The 17,537-nt window shown below is 58.7% G+C and overlaps 1 protein-coding gene across 5 annotated transcripts in view, besides 4 other annotated features; it reads right to left on the reverse strand.

The window, feature by feature from the left end:
* Window positions 1-17,537, reverse strand: part of MAD1L1 (mitotic arrest deficient 1 like 1) — a 417,151-nt gene that overhangs the window by 126,714 nt on the left and 272,900 nt on the right. For all 5 annotated transcript variants that reach the window (NM_001304524.2, NM_001304523.2, NM_001013837.2 and 2 more), the window contains one exon: window positions 15,121-15,211. In NM_001304524.2, coding sequence (NP_001291453.1) covers window positions 15,121-15,211 — 91 coding nt within the window. The remainder of the gene's footprint in view (window positions 1-15,120; window positions 15,212-17,537) is intronic.
* Window positions 3,328-4,143: an enhancer, noted in NCBI's record as "H3K4me1 hESC enhancer chr7:1985471-1986286 (GRCh37/hg19 assembly coordinates)". NCBI's record gives its function as "activates a minimal SCP1, AML or CMV promoter by ChIP-STARR-seq in naive and primed H9 embryonic stem cells {active_cell/tissue: H9 hESC(naive and primed)}" and the evidence as "EXISTENCE:reporter gene assay evidence [ECO:0000049][PMID:30033119]".
* Window positions 4,144-4,958: an enhancer, noted in NCBI's record as "H3K4me1 hESC enhancer chr7:1986287-1987101 (GRCh37/hg19 assembly coordinates)". NCBI's record gives its function as "activates a minimal SCP1, AML or CMV promoter by ChIP-STARR-seq in primed H9 embryonic stem cells {active_cell/tissue: H9 hESC(primed)}" and the evidence as "EXISTENCE:reporter gene assay evidence [ECO:0000049][PMID:30033119]".
* Window positions 12,310-13,034: an enhancer, noted in NCBI's record as "H3K4me1 hESC enhancer chr7:1994453-1995177 (GRCh37/hg19 assembly coordinates)". NCBI's record gives its function as "activates a minimal SCP1, AML or CMV promoter by ChIP-STARR-seq in naive H9 embryonic stem cells {active_cell/tissue: H9 hESC(naive)}" and the evidence as "EXISTENCE:reporter gene assay evidence [ECO:0000049][PMID:30033119]".
* Window positions 15,317-15,997: an enhancer, noted in NCBI's record as "H3K27ac-H3K4me1 hESC enhancer chr7:1997460-1998140 (GRCh37/hg19 assembly coordinates)". NCBI's record gives its function as "activates a minimal SCP1, AML or CMV promoter by ChIP-STARR-seq in primed H9 embryonic stem cells {active_cell/tissue: H9 hESC(primed)}" and the evidence as "EXISTENCE:reporter gene assay evidence [ECO:0000049][PMID:30033119]".

A 17,537-nucleotide genomic window follows, 5' to 3' on the forward strand; every position in this document is an offset into this window, starting at 1 on the left:
CCAGGGCAGCCGAGTGTCGGGATGGGAGGACGGCCCTATGTCCTATACAAACAGCACCACTCCTGCACCCACCCCACCAAGAGGAGCCATTTCAAACACACAGGCAGCAAAACAGCATGGGAGGAAACTAGGCGGGATCTAGGTGATTAGGAAACATCCCATGTCTCGGATCAGAAGACCCGGCGCTGTCGGGACCAGAGACTCCCAGGGCTGATCTGCACATTCTGTACAATCCCAGGACTCAGCCGGCCTCCCTGAAGAACTGATAAGCTGATTCTGAAACTCACACGGAACTGCAGGGGCTCAGAAGAGCCACCACAGGCTTGCAAAGGGGGAACACGGGAGGAAGACTCAGTCTCCTGATTTCAAAACTTACTACAAAGCCACTGCAATCAGGATGGTGTGGTGTGGGCATGAGGACCGACGTACAGACCAACAACACAGTGGAGAGTCCAGGAACCAACCACACGTTCATGTTAAGTGATTCTGAGAAAGGTGTTAAGACCTTTCGATAGGGAAAAATAGTCTTTTCAACAAATGCTGCTGGGACAATGGGCTGGCGCATGCCAAAGAATGAAGCTGGGCCCCACCTCCCACCATAAACAAAAACTAAGTAACAATGGATCCAAGACCCACGCAAAGCCCAACCGTAAAACCTGTGGAAGAAAACAGAGGAGGAAACCCTCCTAACCTTGGATTTAACAAAGAATTCTTAGCCCAAAGCACAAAGAACAAAAGAAAATAACAGGTAATCAGACTTCATCCAAACTAAGAACTCTTGTGCTTCAAAGGACGCCAGTGACAGGCAAAAACAAGCCACAGAATGGGAGAAAATGTCTGCAAATCTATACCCGAAGAACTTACACCTCAACACATGAAGCACTGTCAGCAAACGACCCAGTGTCACAATAGGCAAGGCGTCTGCAGACAGACTCCTATGAGGACCCAGTGTCACAATGGGCAAGGCATCTGAAGACAGACTTCTATGAGTTCAATAGACACATGAAAAGCTGCTCGGCATCATCCGGCATCCAGAGACAGAAAGTGAAATCACAGCCAGGTATCACTTTGCGCCCCCAGGACGGCTGGGAAGTCACGCAACAACACGTTGGTGAGGATGGGGATAAACTGGAACCCTGGTGTGCGGCAGCCCTGGAGAACAGTCTGGCAGTTCCTCCAATGGTGAAACGGTTACCATGTGATCCAGCAGGCCCAGTCCCAGGCAGACCCCCGAGAGAACTGCACACACATCTACACAGACTCGTCCGTGAATGTTCAGGGCAGCTGTGTTCATAACAGCCCCAAAGCGGAAACCATCCAGATGTCCATCAGGCGATGACTGGATATGTAAGATGTGGCCGTGCAGACAGTGGGGTGTTTCAGCCACAAGAAGGAACACAAGGTCCACCAGTTGATGACTGGATATATAAGATGCGGCCGTGCACAGTGGGGTGTTTCAGCCACAAGAAGGAATACACCACCGACACCTATGACCACATGGGTGAACCTTGAACAAGGGAAGTGAGAAAAGCCAATCACAAAGGCCACAGGACTCCCTTCCCAGGAAATGCTGGTAATGGGCCACGGGACTCCCTCCCAGGAAATGCTCAGAACAGGCCACGGGACTCCCTTTCCAGGAAATGCTCACAACAGACAGACCCACAGAGGCACGCAGTAGCCGACTGGTGGCTGAGGGTTTGAGGGCACGGGAGACAGCAGGGTGATGGATAACTAGAGGGTTCGGGCTTCCTTGAGAGGGGATCAAAACGTTCTGCGAAGGGTGACGGTGGTTGCACTAGCCGTGGACATAAAAGTCGCTGAACTGCCCCCTTCAAAGGGACGAGGTACGTGGAATGTGCGTCGCATTTCAATAGAGCTGTTAGAAATGGCGGGCCGGGTGGGGAGTGAGAAACAGCAGGAAGCGTGGATGCAGCTGCCAGAGCCTGCGGGGCTGAAACCAGCCTCTTCCTTTGCATGTACCACGATTTCAACTTCAAGAGCAGCTCTCCACGGGGAGGACAAGGGCTGAGAGGGGCTGCCTGGAGGGAGCTCCAGGGTGAAGGAGAAACTCTGGGGCTCCGTAAGGAAATGTCCTTACTTGTATCCTGCTTGGGCTGGGAAATGTGAGGCTGAAGGGGATCCCTGCCCCCAAGACCCTCCTCCTCCACAGCCGGAAGAGCCTCTAGGGCACAGTGGCCTGACCATCACCCCCCACCCCGTCGGCCCTCTCCCACTCCTGCCAGCTGGGCCCAGACACCAAGTGCAGTGACCACAGTCTGCAGGACCAGGTGACGTCAGGGTGTGCCCACAGGGCCCTGCCTTGGTGGCTTCTTGGAGCCTGCAGGCCACCTCTGCAGCTGATGGGGACAAAGACCCCTGTGAGTCAGCAGCTGACAGGCAGGGGACCGGCTGGCCTGGCTTCTGTGGCTTGGCAGCCCCTGCAAGTGCACAGTGCAGTGGCCACCAAGGGAGCCGGAAGCAGAGGGAGACGGGTACGGGCAGCCCCTCACCTGGGCCGTCGGCCACTGGGAGAGACAGTGGACACCGAGACCCTCCCGCTAGATGGGGGCTGCGAAGGGCCAGGCCTCCGTCTCTCTCTGCAGAGCAGGGAAGCAGCACGGTGCCTCGGCGCCCGCTCAGCAGGGGCCCAGCAGAGGCCGGCTGCCAAGGGTGACTGCTGTTGCCAGCGGGACACCCCGATCAGCCTAAACACTCATCTCAGTAGGCGTCCTCCACGCCAGAAGTCCAGCTCCGCGGTGACAGGGACTCCTGTCCACCACCACAGCCCCAGCACCGAGGACTATCCCGGCACAGGCTCCATGTGGAAGATGTGTTTGCTGAATGAATGCATGATGATGATGAACACTTACTACACTCGGATGTGCTCCTGGGGCTTAAACCAGGTGGCTAGAGTGGTTAGAGTAACGCAGGAAGTAAGAGCAAGTAGGTCCCACGAAAGGGCTTGGAACCCTTCTCCAAGTCGTGGAGAGTCCCACTCTCACTTCCTGGGTCACAGCCGCAACCCAGGAGAAGCAGAGGGTGTGGGAGAGGTGCTGCTGCTGCTGGGCCCACCCTGGAGATGAAGGGAAGGAGGGTGAGGGCAGCGGCCATCTGCAGACGCCATGGGGTGCCGGGCCCGGCCAGTGCTCTGTGAGCCCTCTTTCATGTATTCTGCTGCTTTCTGGAGGAGAACGGTCATGCAGCACTCACGCGACCCCTCAGAGGTGCGGGTAAGGTGGCGGCGCTGGGCCGCAGACCGGGGTTAGGGCTCTGCATGGCGTGGCTGTGGCTGGGGGCCCCAAGGGACTCAGAGGGTGGCCTGAGAAGTCTGGAGGCAGTGGGGGAGGGACCACCAGGGCAGGAGGTGGTCCAGGGGCATCCCAGATGAGGCACAGGCCAGTGCAGCCTCAAGATCCTCCTACGCAAAGACCCAAGCACTTCCCACCATGGACATACCAAGCCTCCAGCCCAGAGGAAGGGCCAGTGGGTTCTGCACTGGGGCCAGGAGGCAATGGACACACCAAGCCCCAGCCCAGAGGAAGGGCCAGCGGGTTGTACACTGGGGCCAGGAGGCAGCGGATGTGGGGTGGGCTCTGCAGCCCAGGAGGCAAGATCACTTCCTCCCAGGCCCCATCTGCCCATCCGCTCAGGGCCACCCCTGCCCTCTGTGCATTCTGGCAGGACGCCTCCTGCTCACAGAACCCACCTCTAGCTGCAGGCCCAGGGGGTCAGTGTGAGGCTCCAGGCGTGGGGAGAAGCCCCTCCAGTGCTGCCCCGGCCCCGTGCACCCCACCCACCTAGGGCGCTGAGCACTGTGTGTGCCAGCAAGCAGGAGCACCGTTGGGGGCTGGCACCACTCAACTCAAGCAGATGGGAGATGGAGCAACCTTGCTGGAATCGGCTGTTAGCTGACAGCTTCCAGGAAGAAAGGGGAAAATGGCTATAATCTTCTGCTAAAATTTGTTGCCTTGTTTGATTCACAGCTGAGAAAACTGTTGAGACGCTGACGAGAATCTCAAAAGGAAAAGTTTGGAGCCTTCCTTTGATGCGATGGTGCAATCATTGACTCAACAGAAATCTTTCACTTGCAGAGCGAGCAGGCGCTCTGGTGCTGCTACCCAGCGCGGTTAAGCGGAAGAGCCGGCTGGCGGGTGCAGCGGGAGAATGCTGGGACGGGCAGGGCAGGTCCCCGGCCACTTGCAGGCCTACTGTCTGTCCAAGCTCCCCTCCAGGCTGGGCCTAGGGTTCTGGAGATGACAGGGCCCCACCTTCAGACAAAGCGGTCTTGGAGGGGTCTGCACAGGGAGAGACAAGGCCCAGAGAGGGTGCGGGTGCTCCCGGGCTGCCTTGTAAGCCCACACCTGTGCCTCCAGGAGGCCTCGGCCTCGACGGCCCGTTTCTCTCTGTGTTCAGGGGACTGTCTACAGCCCAAGTCCTGGAGGAGGAGGCTGGGTGGGGGCTGGCGTTGGCTCCATCTCTGTTCCCACTGTGAGTTCCGCCCCTAACTCGCTGGTAGGTCTCCGTCCTCTCTGGGCCTCGGCTTCCCATCTGTGAGGGTGAGTGTGGTGAGTTTCACCTTAAGGACCTCCCTTCCGGCCAAAATGCTCATAAGACCCGGAGCAGAGGACAGGAAAGCCCTGAGCCCACGCCCTGGTGCGTGCAGGAGCTGGGTGCCATGGGCCCTTGGCTGCCCCGGGCAAAGGAAATGGCTTCTGAGGGGCCCTATCCTCAAGGTCCCTGCTGGGGAGGAGGCTGCCTCCAGCAAGGCCCAGGCAATACTTGGGGAGGGAGGCGCCTGTCCCCGTGTGCCTGACGCGCATGCCGAGAGCAGAGAAAGCGCTGGAAGGAAGCAGCGACAAGAGGGGAATGGAAAACACAGTTAAATAACCACCAGTCCTTATGCATATTTATAGATCGTCCGGCGTCAAAATTCAATCAATACCTCTCCTGGCTGAAGGAAATGGCTCACGGAGGAGAGCGAGGCAGCTCGGGCTGTGCCTGTTGGGCCAGGGCATTGCAGAACCAGGCCCACCAAGAGGCACAGGCAGAGGCCCGGCCTTCCCATCTCCTGCCCGTGGCCTTGCCTGCTTGGCCTTCCCATCTCCTGCCCGTGGCCTTGCCCGCTTGGCCTTCCCATCTCCTGCCCGTGGCCTTGCCCGCTTGGCCTTCCCATCTCCTGCCCGTGGCCTTGCCTGCCGCACACGGCTGGGTTGTGGAACCTGCCTCTGTAACAAGCCCAGGCGAGGGTCACACCTCCCAGCCCTGCCCTCAGCAGCGGCCTGACCTTGGGCAACTTACTCAGGGCCAGCAGGAGGGCTGAAGGGCTGGATGCACCTATACACACCTGTCGCCGAGGGGCCTGCGGGGCCGTGTCCCACCTATTCCAGGAAAGCAGCTCCCAAGCAGGTAGAGGCACATGGATGGGAGAGGGCAGCCTGAAGCAGACAGAGAAACTGAGGCCCAAGGAGGGACAGAGGCCATGCTGCTGTCCGTGACCAGTGCCCGGGAGCGGTGGGAGGATGAGAACTGGATGGGGGTAGGACAGAACCCCGAGAGCTCCCTTTCTGCAGAGCTGAGTGCTCCACCATGGGGAGTGAGTGTCCCGGGCCTCATCTGGGGCACCTGCAGGGGGCGAGGGAGTGGCCCGGGGTCACAGGGCGGAGCCCCTGGAGGCCCCTCCAGCACACGCACCATGGCCAGGCTTCACCAGAAGTGGAAACTCCCCACAGCCAAGGCGTCCACGGCAAAGCCAGCCTGCGAGTGAGCCCACCCACCTGCGCCATGGGCCCCAGCAAACGCCCCCCATGAACCCCCTCCACCCCCCAGTGACCGTGTGCTGTATAGCCTCCGCTCAGGGCCCTGCCCAGAGGCTAAGCGAGGGTTCACCAGGGCCTGAGGGAGGGGCCGCAGCTTTCCCCAGCAGGACACGCCCTGTGAGCCAGCACGTCTGCCAAACCAGTGGAGCCGGGACACTGGCACCCAGGAGACGGCGCTGAGGCCACCGCACAGCTCCGGAGCTGGCCTTCCCGGCCTGAGACCCTGCTGGGCAGCTCCACGTGAAAGGCCAGGGGAGGAGGGAGCTGGGAGGGGTCATGCCTGTCCTGGTTCCAGCAAGGGTCAGGGGCTCCTCCCATGACACCCCTGATAACAGCCTCTGTGGTTCCATAGCAGAGAAAGGGCGGGCGGCCTGCCGTGGCCAGGGAAGACGGCATGTGAGAGTCTCCACTGGTCAGCGGGGCGGGGACAGCATCCCCTTCCTAATCTGGCCAAGGCTGAGACCAGATCACCCTGGGCTGAACTCCTGGGCTCCAGGGGCTGTGCCTGTGGTGAGGAGGAGATGGTCCTGATGGCACCCAGCAAGGCTGACATCTGCCCCACCTGCCTGGAGCAGTCCCTGAACAGAGACGAGATGCATAGCTCTGGAGGGAGACCCAGGCCAGACACTCGTACAACACAGGAGGGGCTGGGCCCGACACACACACAGGATCCAGGAGGAAGGACACACAGCTGCTGCCCCAGGACGCCATGTGGGGCTTCCCTGGACCTGTCAGCAAAGGAAAAGCCCAGCTGGGGCAACGCTGCCCGGGCCCTGCTCCTTGAGGCTCCAGGGTGGCTCTCCTAGGAGGGGCCCGGGGCACGGCCCCTAGAGCTGACACTCTGCGGTCCAGAGTGTGTGCACACGCACTAGCTTGCTCTCTGAGCCTCGATCTGCTGTCTGTAGAGTGGTGGCTATGGTGACCTACCAAGTCCATGGAAAGGTCGGGCGGGTTAACGGACGTGCACATGGTCTCAGGCTCTAAGGAGCTCTGCCGGGCACGCAAGCATCGCCCGGGGGGACCCGCGCAGTGAAACCAAAGACGTGGATCTCCTCCCTCTGCCACATGCGCCCGGCTCTGAGTCCCTCTTGAACTCCATCCCTGTCTGAGGACTCAAGACGTCCTTGAGAACCGAGGGGCATCTGGCAAACCAGGCCATGGGCAGGCTCCAGGTCCAAACCCAGTTCCTCATGAGAGAAGCAAAGTGCTTCCCCTTCCCCAGAGTCCTGCCAAGTGGAGGCGGCGGGGAGGGGCCTCTTCCTGGCCCCCAGGAGAGCCGCAGCCACTTTCCACCTCCCCTGAAACCCCACAGGCACCGGCAGGGCCCTGTGCTTCCCTTCTCCTCTAAAAAGCTGCTCTCATCCGTTTCTCTGCAGATACGCCCAGGAACCAAAGGACATCGGTCCCTTGGACGCAGTGCCTGCAGCAGCGGCTGCTTGGGGAGACCTCCATCGTGCCATGTCCAAGAGCCGCGGGGACTGGCACCCCGTGCGGGGCACTTGCAGACAGGGCCACGGCCCTTGCTTCCCAGAGGAGGCCCCGGGCCTCCAAGAGGCTGCAGACATGCTCAGGGATATCAGCTTTGAGGAGCCCGGACCCCCCAGGTCCCGCCTTTGAGTTTGGTTTTCTACCCCAAGTGCAAGACATGGCTTCAGTCCAAGTGGCAGCAGCAGGGACAGGCTGGGGGAGATCGAGGTGCTCAGCAGTGGGTCCCTGGGCACATCTCTACTTGAGGGGACAGCAGAGACTACTAGACGATCTCTAGACAAAGGACAAGGGCTCGTGGGCCAGGCGTGCATGCCCATGCCTGCCCAGGCAGCAGACGCAGGGGTCTGGCAGAGCCCGAGCTGGGTCCCAGTTCCACCAGCCACAACTGTGTGACTCTGGGCCAGTCCCCAGCACCCTGACCTCAGTCTCATGTCACCCAGCGGCGAGAATGGTCACCATGTGATAGGGAAGTGAGAACTCGGGCACACTCACACCATCCGTCTGTCCGTCCGTCCAGTGGCTCTGCCGCCCTCCTGCACGTCCCGCGCCACCTCGAGGCCCGCAAGCCCTCATGAAAGCTCCCCTGACCTCAGGCCTCATCAGCAGATGAAGGACTCTCAGCACAGCCAATTACCCGGTGCTGGTAATCACCCGCTGACTTCCACCCGAGTCCTTCAGAAGGTAATCTGCGGAGGGCGACTTGTAAACAATTTGGAGGGAGAAGATAAAAACCCCAATCGTCAGAAGGGTTGGACAACAGTGACTTGGGCTGAGGCCTGGCTCTGAGCGCCAGTCGACCCCACACGGGAGCCCCTCAATGTCTGCCCCCAGCTGCAGCTCTCACCTCCTCCCCTGCACCCAGGCCCTTCGCCACCCTCTGCTGCCTCTGTGAGCAGCTGCAGGCCCACAGGGGGAGGGTGCTCTAGTGGGGCCGTTGGCAAAGCTCAGCATGGGGGGAGCAGCACACGTGGGCAAGTGGGGGATGAGCGGGCAGAGCCCAGTGAGCACCGCGGTGGGTCCTGGCTCTGCCACCCGTGCTCCTCGTTCAGCTCACAGCACATCGCCTGCCCCATCTGCAGACGAGGCATCTACCTGAGCTCCCACCACGGCAGTGTGGTCAGTGCACAGGGCACCCACTGGCCACCCACCCTGGGCACGAAGCCCATGCTTCCTGGGAGGAGGAGGCGGGGGACCAGCACTGTCCTGGTCCCGCTGCAACCACAGGTCCTCCTCCTCCTTCCCAGACACGTGGGCTTCACCCGGGAGGCTGCTCCCCTGGCCTGCCGAGGAAGTGAACTGGGTCCCTGCCAGACTGGCGGATGAGCAGGAGCCCTGGACAGCCTCTGCTATCCCAGTCTCCCCACTACAGGGCACAAACAACAGCCAGCGCCTAAACCATCCTGCCTGAGGCTCAGCCAGAGCTGGCAGGAGGCCTCAGGGGCTCAGGCAGCAGGTGCAGGACCAGCTGGTGGATGAAGGGCCTGAGGAAGGCAGGAGTGACCGAAGGACAGAGGCCGTGTGAGGGCAGGGTTGGAGTAGTCACCTCAAGCGCCCTGCCCCTCCCGTCCGGGGTGTGGCTCACTCCTAACAAGCTGCCTGCTGGGTCTCACTGTGGTGAAACGCACGTGACAGGAAGCTGACCGCCATAACCATTCTAAGTGCACAGCTCCCTGGCATTCAGCACACTCTCAGTGCTGTGCGGCCACCACCACAGCCCATTCCCAGAGCTTCCTCATCTCTCCAGGCTAAAGCCCACATCCATCAACACTCACTCTCCATTCCCCTGCCCCAGCCCCAGCCCCTGGCACCGGCCTCTCCACCTCCTGTCTATGGATCTGATGACTCTAGGGGCCTCGTGTAGGTGGAATCACATAGCCTGTGTCCTTCTGGGACTGGCCGGTTTCACCCAGCTCAGCGTCCTCAGGTCCATCCATGCTGCGGCAGGTGTCGGGACGCGCCTCCTCCTTGAGGCTGTATCTATCATGCTCCACCGTATGGAAGGACCACACTGTGTCCATCCATGCATCTGTCCACAGACGCTGGGGTGCGCTCACCTCTGGGCTACCGTGAGCGAGGCTGCTGTGAACGTGGGTGCCCGTATCCATGAGTCCCTGCTTTTGGTTCTTCTGGGCATGTACGCAGCGGTGGACTTGCTGGTCAGTGTGGTGAAACAAAGCCACTCTTCCATCAGTGGCAGCACCATGGCCAAGCCCCCATCGGTGACATTTCTTCTAGAATCTCAGGCTTAGTCTGCAAACTCCCATGGCAGGAATTACCTAAGTGATCACACTTTCCTTTCTCCCTAGGCTGCCAGGAAGCTCCGATTAAAACAGACGCCCAACTTCACCAGCACCTTCAGCCCTTGTGGGCAGAACATTCCTGGTTTCCCACACACAGCATCGGCTGCCGGGAATCTGTGGAGCAGTGAGATCTCATGGAAAGAAAACGAGCACCATCATAGAAAACACGATGCTGCTCCGAGGACTGCGGCCGACTCAGCCTCCCCGGCGGCCCGGTCCGGAGTGGGCGCTTCTCCTGTCCTTCCACGAGCCACGGGAGGAAACCAGGAGCCCTTGGTCCCGCCAGGACCTAACGTGGGTCCCTGGGGCCCCGTGCCAATGACCTGCTTCCTTTCACGGACGGGAAGCACCTCATCCGTCTGAACCATCAGCTCGCTGTATGACTCCCACAGAACAGGGGCCCAGAACATCCGGGCTGTGGCTCCTTGGCCCCCGCTGTGCCCTGGCTTAGAGCAGCGCCTGGCACAGAGGTGCGTGAAGGTGGCTCACGCATGGGAGGGGAGGGCTGGGCTGGTGAGCATGGAGTCCCATGGGCCCTGCAGAGCTGCCCTCCCGTGATCCTGCCTCCCAGGAAAAGTCCAACCCCCTTGCCTCACAAAGGAGGCCCTCAGGGCACAGAGAGGAGCACTTCCCGAGGCCACCAGGTAACACCAGGCCCATCGTCCCGGTCCAGAGGCCACACTCTGTCCAACATGGTAGAAGGTTCAGGAGAAAGAGCCGAACACAGAATGAAGGTCCCACTGATGAGCCACATGCGTTACTAAGAGTCCAGCGAGCGGGAGAGGCCAGACCTGAGGAGGTTGGCTCAGAGCACCCGCCGGGAGGCCCCGGTACAGGGACACGACCCCAGCCCACCACACCTGGGCATGGACGCCAGCACAAAGGGGGCAGCTGTGGCTCCAGGAGGGAACGCGGCCCTCTCCCAGGGCAGCTGCAGCGTTGGTGGCTTCAGAATTCCAGGGATCTGGGGGCCACAGGGATGGCATCTCAGGGAGGGGGTGAGGAGGTCTGAGGAGAGGTGACGGGCCCGCCCCACCCTGGTCCCAGGGACACGGACCAGGGATGTGAGGTACCGCACCACCTGCCTGCTGGTGCAGACGGGAGCAGAACGGTCTCCGTGTGCTTCCAGCTTCTGCTCACAGGGAACCCGGCAATCTTCTACCCACTCCTTCCCAAAACAGATGCACTTATTTAAACGTCACAGGGCTCTTGTCTGGTCTCTTTCCTGAACAGCACTTGGGACATTGAGGTTGGCCCCGGCCACAAACCCCACCCAGGCCCCCGCCAGGGAGGAGCAGGCAGGTGGGGCGGGGAGGGAGCCGCACTGGGGGGCTCCACCAGCCCTGACCACCAACCTGCCCAAACAAGCACCATGATGAGGCCACATCGAGGAACGGCTGGAGCACGGGCTTCAGAACCCAAAGATGAATTCTACTTAATTACACGCACACTGAGGCATTTAGAGGAAGCGTGCAGATGTCTGCAATTTACTTAAAGCGCGTCAGAAGAATAAAGTGGCGCGGCGGCTGGGCGAGGGATAAAGAGATGTCAGGAAGCCCCGCGGCGGAACATCCGTGGTGGAGCCTTGGTGGCGGGTGACCAGGCGCTCGCTGCAAACTTCCCTCAACTTCACAACGTATCTTTAAATGTTCATCATCAAATGCTGAAAAAACCCAACAGGGTTGAGTCTGAATGCTGCTCCCATCACTGCTGGGTGACACGGGGGCCCCACGGGGCACAGGTGCCGGCCCAGGCTGCACACTTCACACACACAAGCTGGAGGCTCCTGGGTGGGACTGTCAGGTGGGGATGCGCCCGCCCAGCCAGAAGGTCAGTGTCCTGCCCAGTGCGGCCTCCACTGGACGTGCCCCTCTCTACCCAGGGCGGCCTGTGAGCCCCGACTAGCCTCACTGTGTGTCCTGCCCCGTAGCCTGTGAGCCCCGACCAGCCTCACTGTGGGTCCTGCCCCAGCTCGGTGCCCTCCATCCCCGCATGTGGCCCATCAGAACCACAGACGTGGAAAACGTCCAAGTGTCTTGGAGGTAAGGACGACGGTATTATGACAGACAACAGGAATGGCCACCATGCAGGCCTGGTTCACCAGGTATGTGCAGGGCCCCCCAGGAGCCATCACCGGAGATCTCCAAAGACAGCCTGCGGGAAAGGCCCGTGCCCTCCACATCCTTGGGAGCACACTAAGGCCAGGCTGCAGCCAGTGGGAGACAGAGCTGTGGCCCACCCCAGGCTGTGGGGTCCAAGCTGACAAGGCCCAGTGTCCCAGCTATGAGGTGGCGCATCAGAGGGCAGCCGGGAGCCAGAAGAGAACAAAGCGCTGGGGCCCCAGCTCCTCAGTTCTAGGCCTGGGGAAGAGCACAGGGCACACTCAGGAGGTGGGGACAGGGGTGGGGCAGGAGGCCGTGGCTGCAGGTGGGGTCAGGGACTGTGCCGCCCACCTGACCTGACTCCTGCGGCTGCACCAATAGCCATGGGGGTCCCTCTGCCGCCAGATCTGGAGTTCCACGGGGTCCGCCCGATTTCTGTCTTCACTTCAGAACACTGCAACACGTTCAAGACTCATTCTGCCTCCTAACATGGAGAGTCTGAGCTCCTTCCTCCTTCACACGCAGGCTCCCTGTGGGCCTCACTTTCCCCATCTAGAGAGGGGGCGCCAGAAGCCCGGCCAGCCACCGTCCGTGGGTGCCCCGAGCTCTCCCACCCCCACCACGGGATGGGAGGGCTTGCAGTCCAGGAGCCCCGCCCACCCACTTCCAGCCCCTTCAGCGACACAAGGGTGCACCCAGTCGGCCCTAATGAGTGTGTGGACAGCTCTGGGCTCTTAGGGAGACCCAGAAAGGCCAGTGCCACAGCAGGGCCCAGTGACGGCCCTCCCAGGAAGGCAGCACGAAGACCTCCCAGGCCTGGTCTCCTGGCCTCAGCACCGCGGGAGGGCAGCGGCACTCGCGCCCAGCTCTAAGGGGTAACTGAAATTCTCTTTCCTCGCCAACCAGCTGTGAACTAATTACAAAAAGTTCTAACTAGTCAAGCCCCTCTCCAAGCATATGTTCCCAATTAAGTCAGACTGCAGCTGATTTTAATCAATCTTCCTTGAAGCGGCCCAACTTGAAGGCTTCTCCAGAGGGAGCGGGAGCAGGGAGAGGAGAGGGCATCGCATAGTGGGTGCAGGGGCGGCAGCCGGCTCCTGGGGCCTCGCTCTGTCACCCAGGCTGGAGTGCAGTGGCGTGATCTCGGCTCACTGCAATCTCTGCCTCCTGGGTTCAAGCGATTCTCCTGCCTCAGCCTCCTGAGTAGCTGAGACTACAGGTGCCCACCACCATGCCCAGCGAATTTTTGTATTTTTAGTAGAGGCAGGGTTTCACCATGTTGGCCAGGCTGGCCTTGAGCTCCTGACCTCAGGCAATCCACCCGCCTCAGCCTCCCAAAGTACTGGGATTACAGGCGTGAGCCACCATGCCCAGCCAAAAGAGAGATTTTCAATGGTCTTGCAAGATTAGGTGTCTGGTGGGCAGGCACACCCAGCACGGTGACAACAAGCCATTTATCCCCTAGTGCGCAGGCCCCTCCCCCGGTTCCTCACAGGCTGAGTACTCTGGGGTCACAGTCTTCCTGGATGTTGCCTACTGGTTGTTGGGCAGGGGCTATAGGTGTGTTTTTAGGGTTGTCCTGTTGCATTTTGTTGCAGCCCACAATGCACTGCAATCCTCGTCAGCTCAGGGGCTCTTCAGTTATTTGACTTGTGACCTAAGTAGCTGGGCAGGCTGATAAGAACAGATGAAACGAACTATTTTGCAGAGTAGTATAACTTCCATCTTAGACTAAACTTCTTTGGTTTGGATGAGGGCAAGTAAGGTGGGTGGGGGGGTGGGGTGGCAGGGGGGAGCGGGAGGCCGACAAGCAGGCATTGGTGATCCAAGCAGGGGCCTAGTATATCCTGTTTCTTCTGTAGTTTGGTGACCTAAGCCGGTTCAAGGCACTTTATCTTGGAAATGGACCCCTATTTACAGTATTTCCTTCAATGGCACAGCCCTGGGCATCCAGAGCCAGGGGCAGCCTGAGCCACCACAGGGCCTGTGAGGCCTCACCTTCCCCAGGGCCACCCTGGACGTCCCCCCACTAAGGGTGTAATCGCAGGGGGTGTCAGAAGTGGTGGCAGCTGGAGGGCTGTCTGGAAGTTTCCAACACTCCACAGGCCGAACCCCAGTGGCCTCCCCGCTTCACTGCTCTGCACTTGCTTCTCCCACGCCATCCGGGCACAGTTGTCCCTGTTGCCCTGACCCAGGGAGGAACAGCTCCTGAATCCTGGGCTAGGCTCGAGGTCACCATATCACGGCATAAACATCTGCTTCCCCAGGACCACCAGGCCCAGCCCTGTCCTCTCCCCAAATGGCCACACTGGCCACACTGCAGCACCACGCCTCAGCTCTGAGCAGCTTCAGGACATGCCTAGGGGCAGAGCCCCCACCCCTCCAAGGCCCTGGCAGAGCTCAGGAGAGGGTCACAGGTGACACTGCCAGCCACTCCTCATGCCAACCCCACGGTACCTGACAGCCCTTGGCATCTCCCACAGAGGAGTGCTCCGCTAGTGAGCTCCCGAGCACACGCCGTCTGCGCAGAACAGGGATGGTGGCCAGGCCCCATCAGGTGTTCACCAGTGCTGGCACCGCACTCACCCACACCCCTCACCTCATTCAAGCCTCAACAAGCTCCAAGGGCCGGCCACTGAGGACACCTTGGGGAAAGGGCTGGAAGCTGGAGCAGGGAAGCCGTAAGTGGTGCCTGCAGGGATGCCTGGCCCCCAGTCAGCAAGCAACGTGGGCACCAAGGAGCAGGGTTCAGGCTCTGCTCAGCCCAACACCCAGAAAGACGTTCAGCAGCTCTGACGCAGAGCCTCTGGTGGGCGGGCAGCAGCCCCGTGACCGCTCCCTGTACACCACGGCCCAGTTAAAACAAGATGACAGGTCCTAGGCTGAGGACAGGCCAGCGCGGCTCGGAGCCGCCCATCACCACAGATGTCACTCCTCCCATCGTCAGAAACTGGTCATAAAAAATAGATTTGATCTGCCTCTAACAGGTGCCAAGATAAAATCAATGGCCTGTCCAAAAACCCGGTAACCTCGAACCTGAGGGCTTCCTGCCATGCAGCAACTCAGGAGGATGAAAACCAAAGAGAAAGTACAATTAAAAGAACACAAACAGCAGTCCAGCCTCGCCACAGCAGATCCCGGGTGGGCATAGTGCAAATCTGCCCAGAGCCCACTCCACCGACACCAGGCGTGTGGGTGGTGCGGGCCGCAGAGGACTCCAGAGGCAGCCAGTGCAGGCCTGTCAGCGGCATGGCCTCCCTGCCAGGCAAGGGGGTGCACATGGGAGGGAGGAGAGTTCAGACAGACGAGCCAGAAAACGGGTGTTCTGTGGCAGCAGGAACCACGGTCGTTCACGACGCCCAAAGAAATGAGAGGCCCAGGCAGTGCCTCACCCAGAGGCTGCCCCGCCCTCACCTGCAGAGCTCGCCGCTCCAGCTGTGCCTCCAGCATCCTCTTTTCCTCCTCCAGCCGACTCCGCTCGCCTTCCAGCTCCTCGACCTTCAACCTGCAAGGACAGCAAGACGGTGACCAGGTGTCCGAGGCCAGCCATGCTGGGGAAGTCCCACCCTCTGGGTGATAAGGAGGTGAAAGGTTAGGAGACCCAGCTATACAGCTTTATTTCTAAATACATATCTGTGAAGCTCTCAGAGTCCAGCGATAACATCAAGAGAAAATTGGAAAACGACACAAGTACAGGATGGGGGAGTCCGTGGCGGCCCCTGCTCAGCTGGAGGAGCCTGTGCGGAGAAAGTCTCTGTCGACCACACCTTGGCTGGAAGCACAGAGGGAACCAGCCCGAGGCAGGACGCCTGGGAGTCAGTGTGTCCGTGTCCGTCAGCCACTCCCAGAGGGTGATGTGATGGCGGAGTGCAGGGGACACTGAGGGACAGGAAAGCAACCTCGGGACATCTTCAGAAATGAGGAAAAGACAGGAAAGGACTTCTACTGCGGGGTGTGGAAGAAGCTGATGACAGGGGACCACAGAGGCACAATTCAGATGAGAAACAAAAGCACGCTTCCAGGCGACCCATGGTGAGTTCCCTTCTCCACAGTGGGAATAGAATACAAAACAAACCTCCATGGCCGCAACCGGAATGGGGCCAGTTTTAGTTCACTGTAAAAAGCTGTCTAGTTTTGTCTTCATTTCTAGATCTAATATTTTGAATGGAAAACATATTCATGTGGTTTAAAAATAAAAAAAGTCTGTCAAGGCCTGTAGTGATGGAAAGATTACTCGACACCGCACAGGGACAGGAGCAGGGACAGCTATTCCAGCCTGAGAACTGCTCCAGGGCGTCCCAGCACACCACAACAGCAAGACCCGAGGAAACCCAACTCTTTCCAAGAAACCTAACTGCATCTCTGAAAAAAGATCAAGAAGATTGATACAAATGCAAAAACATCTAGAACACAACAAGCTAAAATTCACAATGCCTGCCATCCAGTCAAAGATTACCAGACATTTAAAGCAGCAGGAAGACACGGCCTATAATGAAGAGATTAACCAAACAACGAATACCTACCAAGACGCAGCATTGCACAGACGGCAACACTGGCAAACAGGGACATTTAGACAGTTGTTAAAACTACTGGAAAAATGCAACAGTTCAGACTCGGAAGAGACACAGGTAGAAGTGGAAACTACCTGTCAGATAAACATGCTGGATGGGATTAATGACAGATTAGAATCCGTAAGAGAAAAGTTTAATGTCCTCGAGGGCACAGCAATAGAAACTATCAAAAACAAAACACAGAGGCCAGGCACGGTGGCTCACGCCTGTAATCCCAGCACTTTGGGAGGCCAAGGCAGCTGGATCGCTTGAGGCCAGGAGTTCAAAACCAGCCTGGCCAACATGGCGTAACCCCTTCTCTACTAAAAATAAAAAAATTAGCCGGGCGTCGTGGTACACCCCTGTAGTCCCAGCTCCTCAGGAGGCTGAGGCATAAGAATCGCTTGAACCCAGGGGGTGGAGGCTGCAGTGAGCCAAGATCACCCCAGTGCACTCCAGCACTGACAGAGCGAGGCCCTGTCTCAAAAACAAATAAATAAGCAAACAAACACAGAGAGGAAAAGATTCCTGAAAAATGAAAAGAGAATCACTGAGCTGTGGGACAGCTTCATGAGGCATAAAATTCATGAACGAGAGTCCCCAAAAGAAAGAAGGCAGAGGAAGCGACGGGACAAATACTATAAGAAAGTTCCACTTTCAATGGAAAGGATAAAGCCACAGATGTAGAAAGCTCAACAGACACGAGGCAGCGCAAGGAACACAGGCCCAGGAAAGAAGACGCTGGCAGCCCCAGAGCACATCAGGACAAGCCTGCTCAGGACCACGGCACGGAAAACCATCTTAAAGGCAGAGGTGGTACCTACAGAGGCACAAGGCGGGGTTCTCATGAGAAACAGTGCAACGGAGAAAAGAGGAGGGAGAAATTTCTGAAATAACGAAAGAAATAAAAACCGCCACCTTAACGGTGAAAACATCTCCCAAAACAGAAGCAAATAAAGATGCCTTCAGATCAGACACGAAAGCTTAAAGAATTCATCATCAGCCGACCTGCTCTACAGAAATGTCAGGTAAGGCCTGCAGGTGAGGGAGGACGAGGGCGGGGCGGGGCAAATACACCCAGATCTGCACGGAGAACCAGGAGGGCTGGAACAGCAGCTGCATTTAGGGAGGATCTTTCTTACATTCAGGTCTCTTAAAAAAATTTAAATTATTAACTTTTTAAAGTGATTAATAGATTAAACAAAACTAATGAAAATATATTGGGGATTTAATATATAGAATAAATAAAATGTATGACAACAGTATAAAGGCTGGAGGAGA

This window comes from Homo sapiens, chromosome 7 (assembly GCF_000001405.40).
Source record: "Homo sapiens chromosome 7, GRCh38.p14 Primary Assembly".
Classification (NCBI taxonomy): domain Eukaryota; kingdom Metazoa; phylum Chordata; class Mammalia; order Primates; family Hominidae; genus Homo; species Homo sapiens.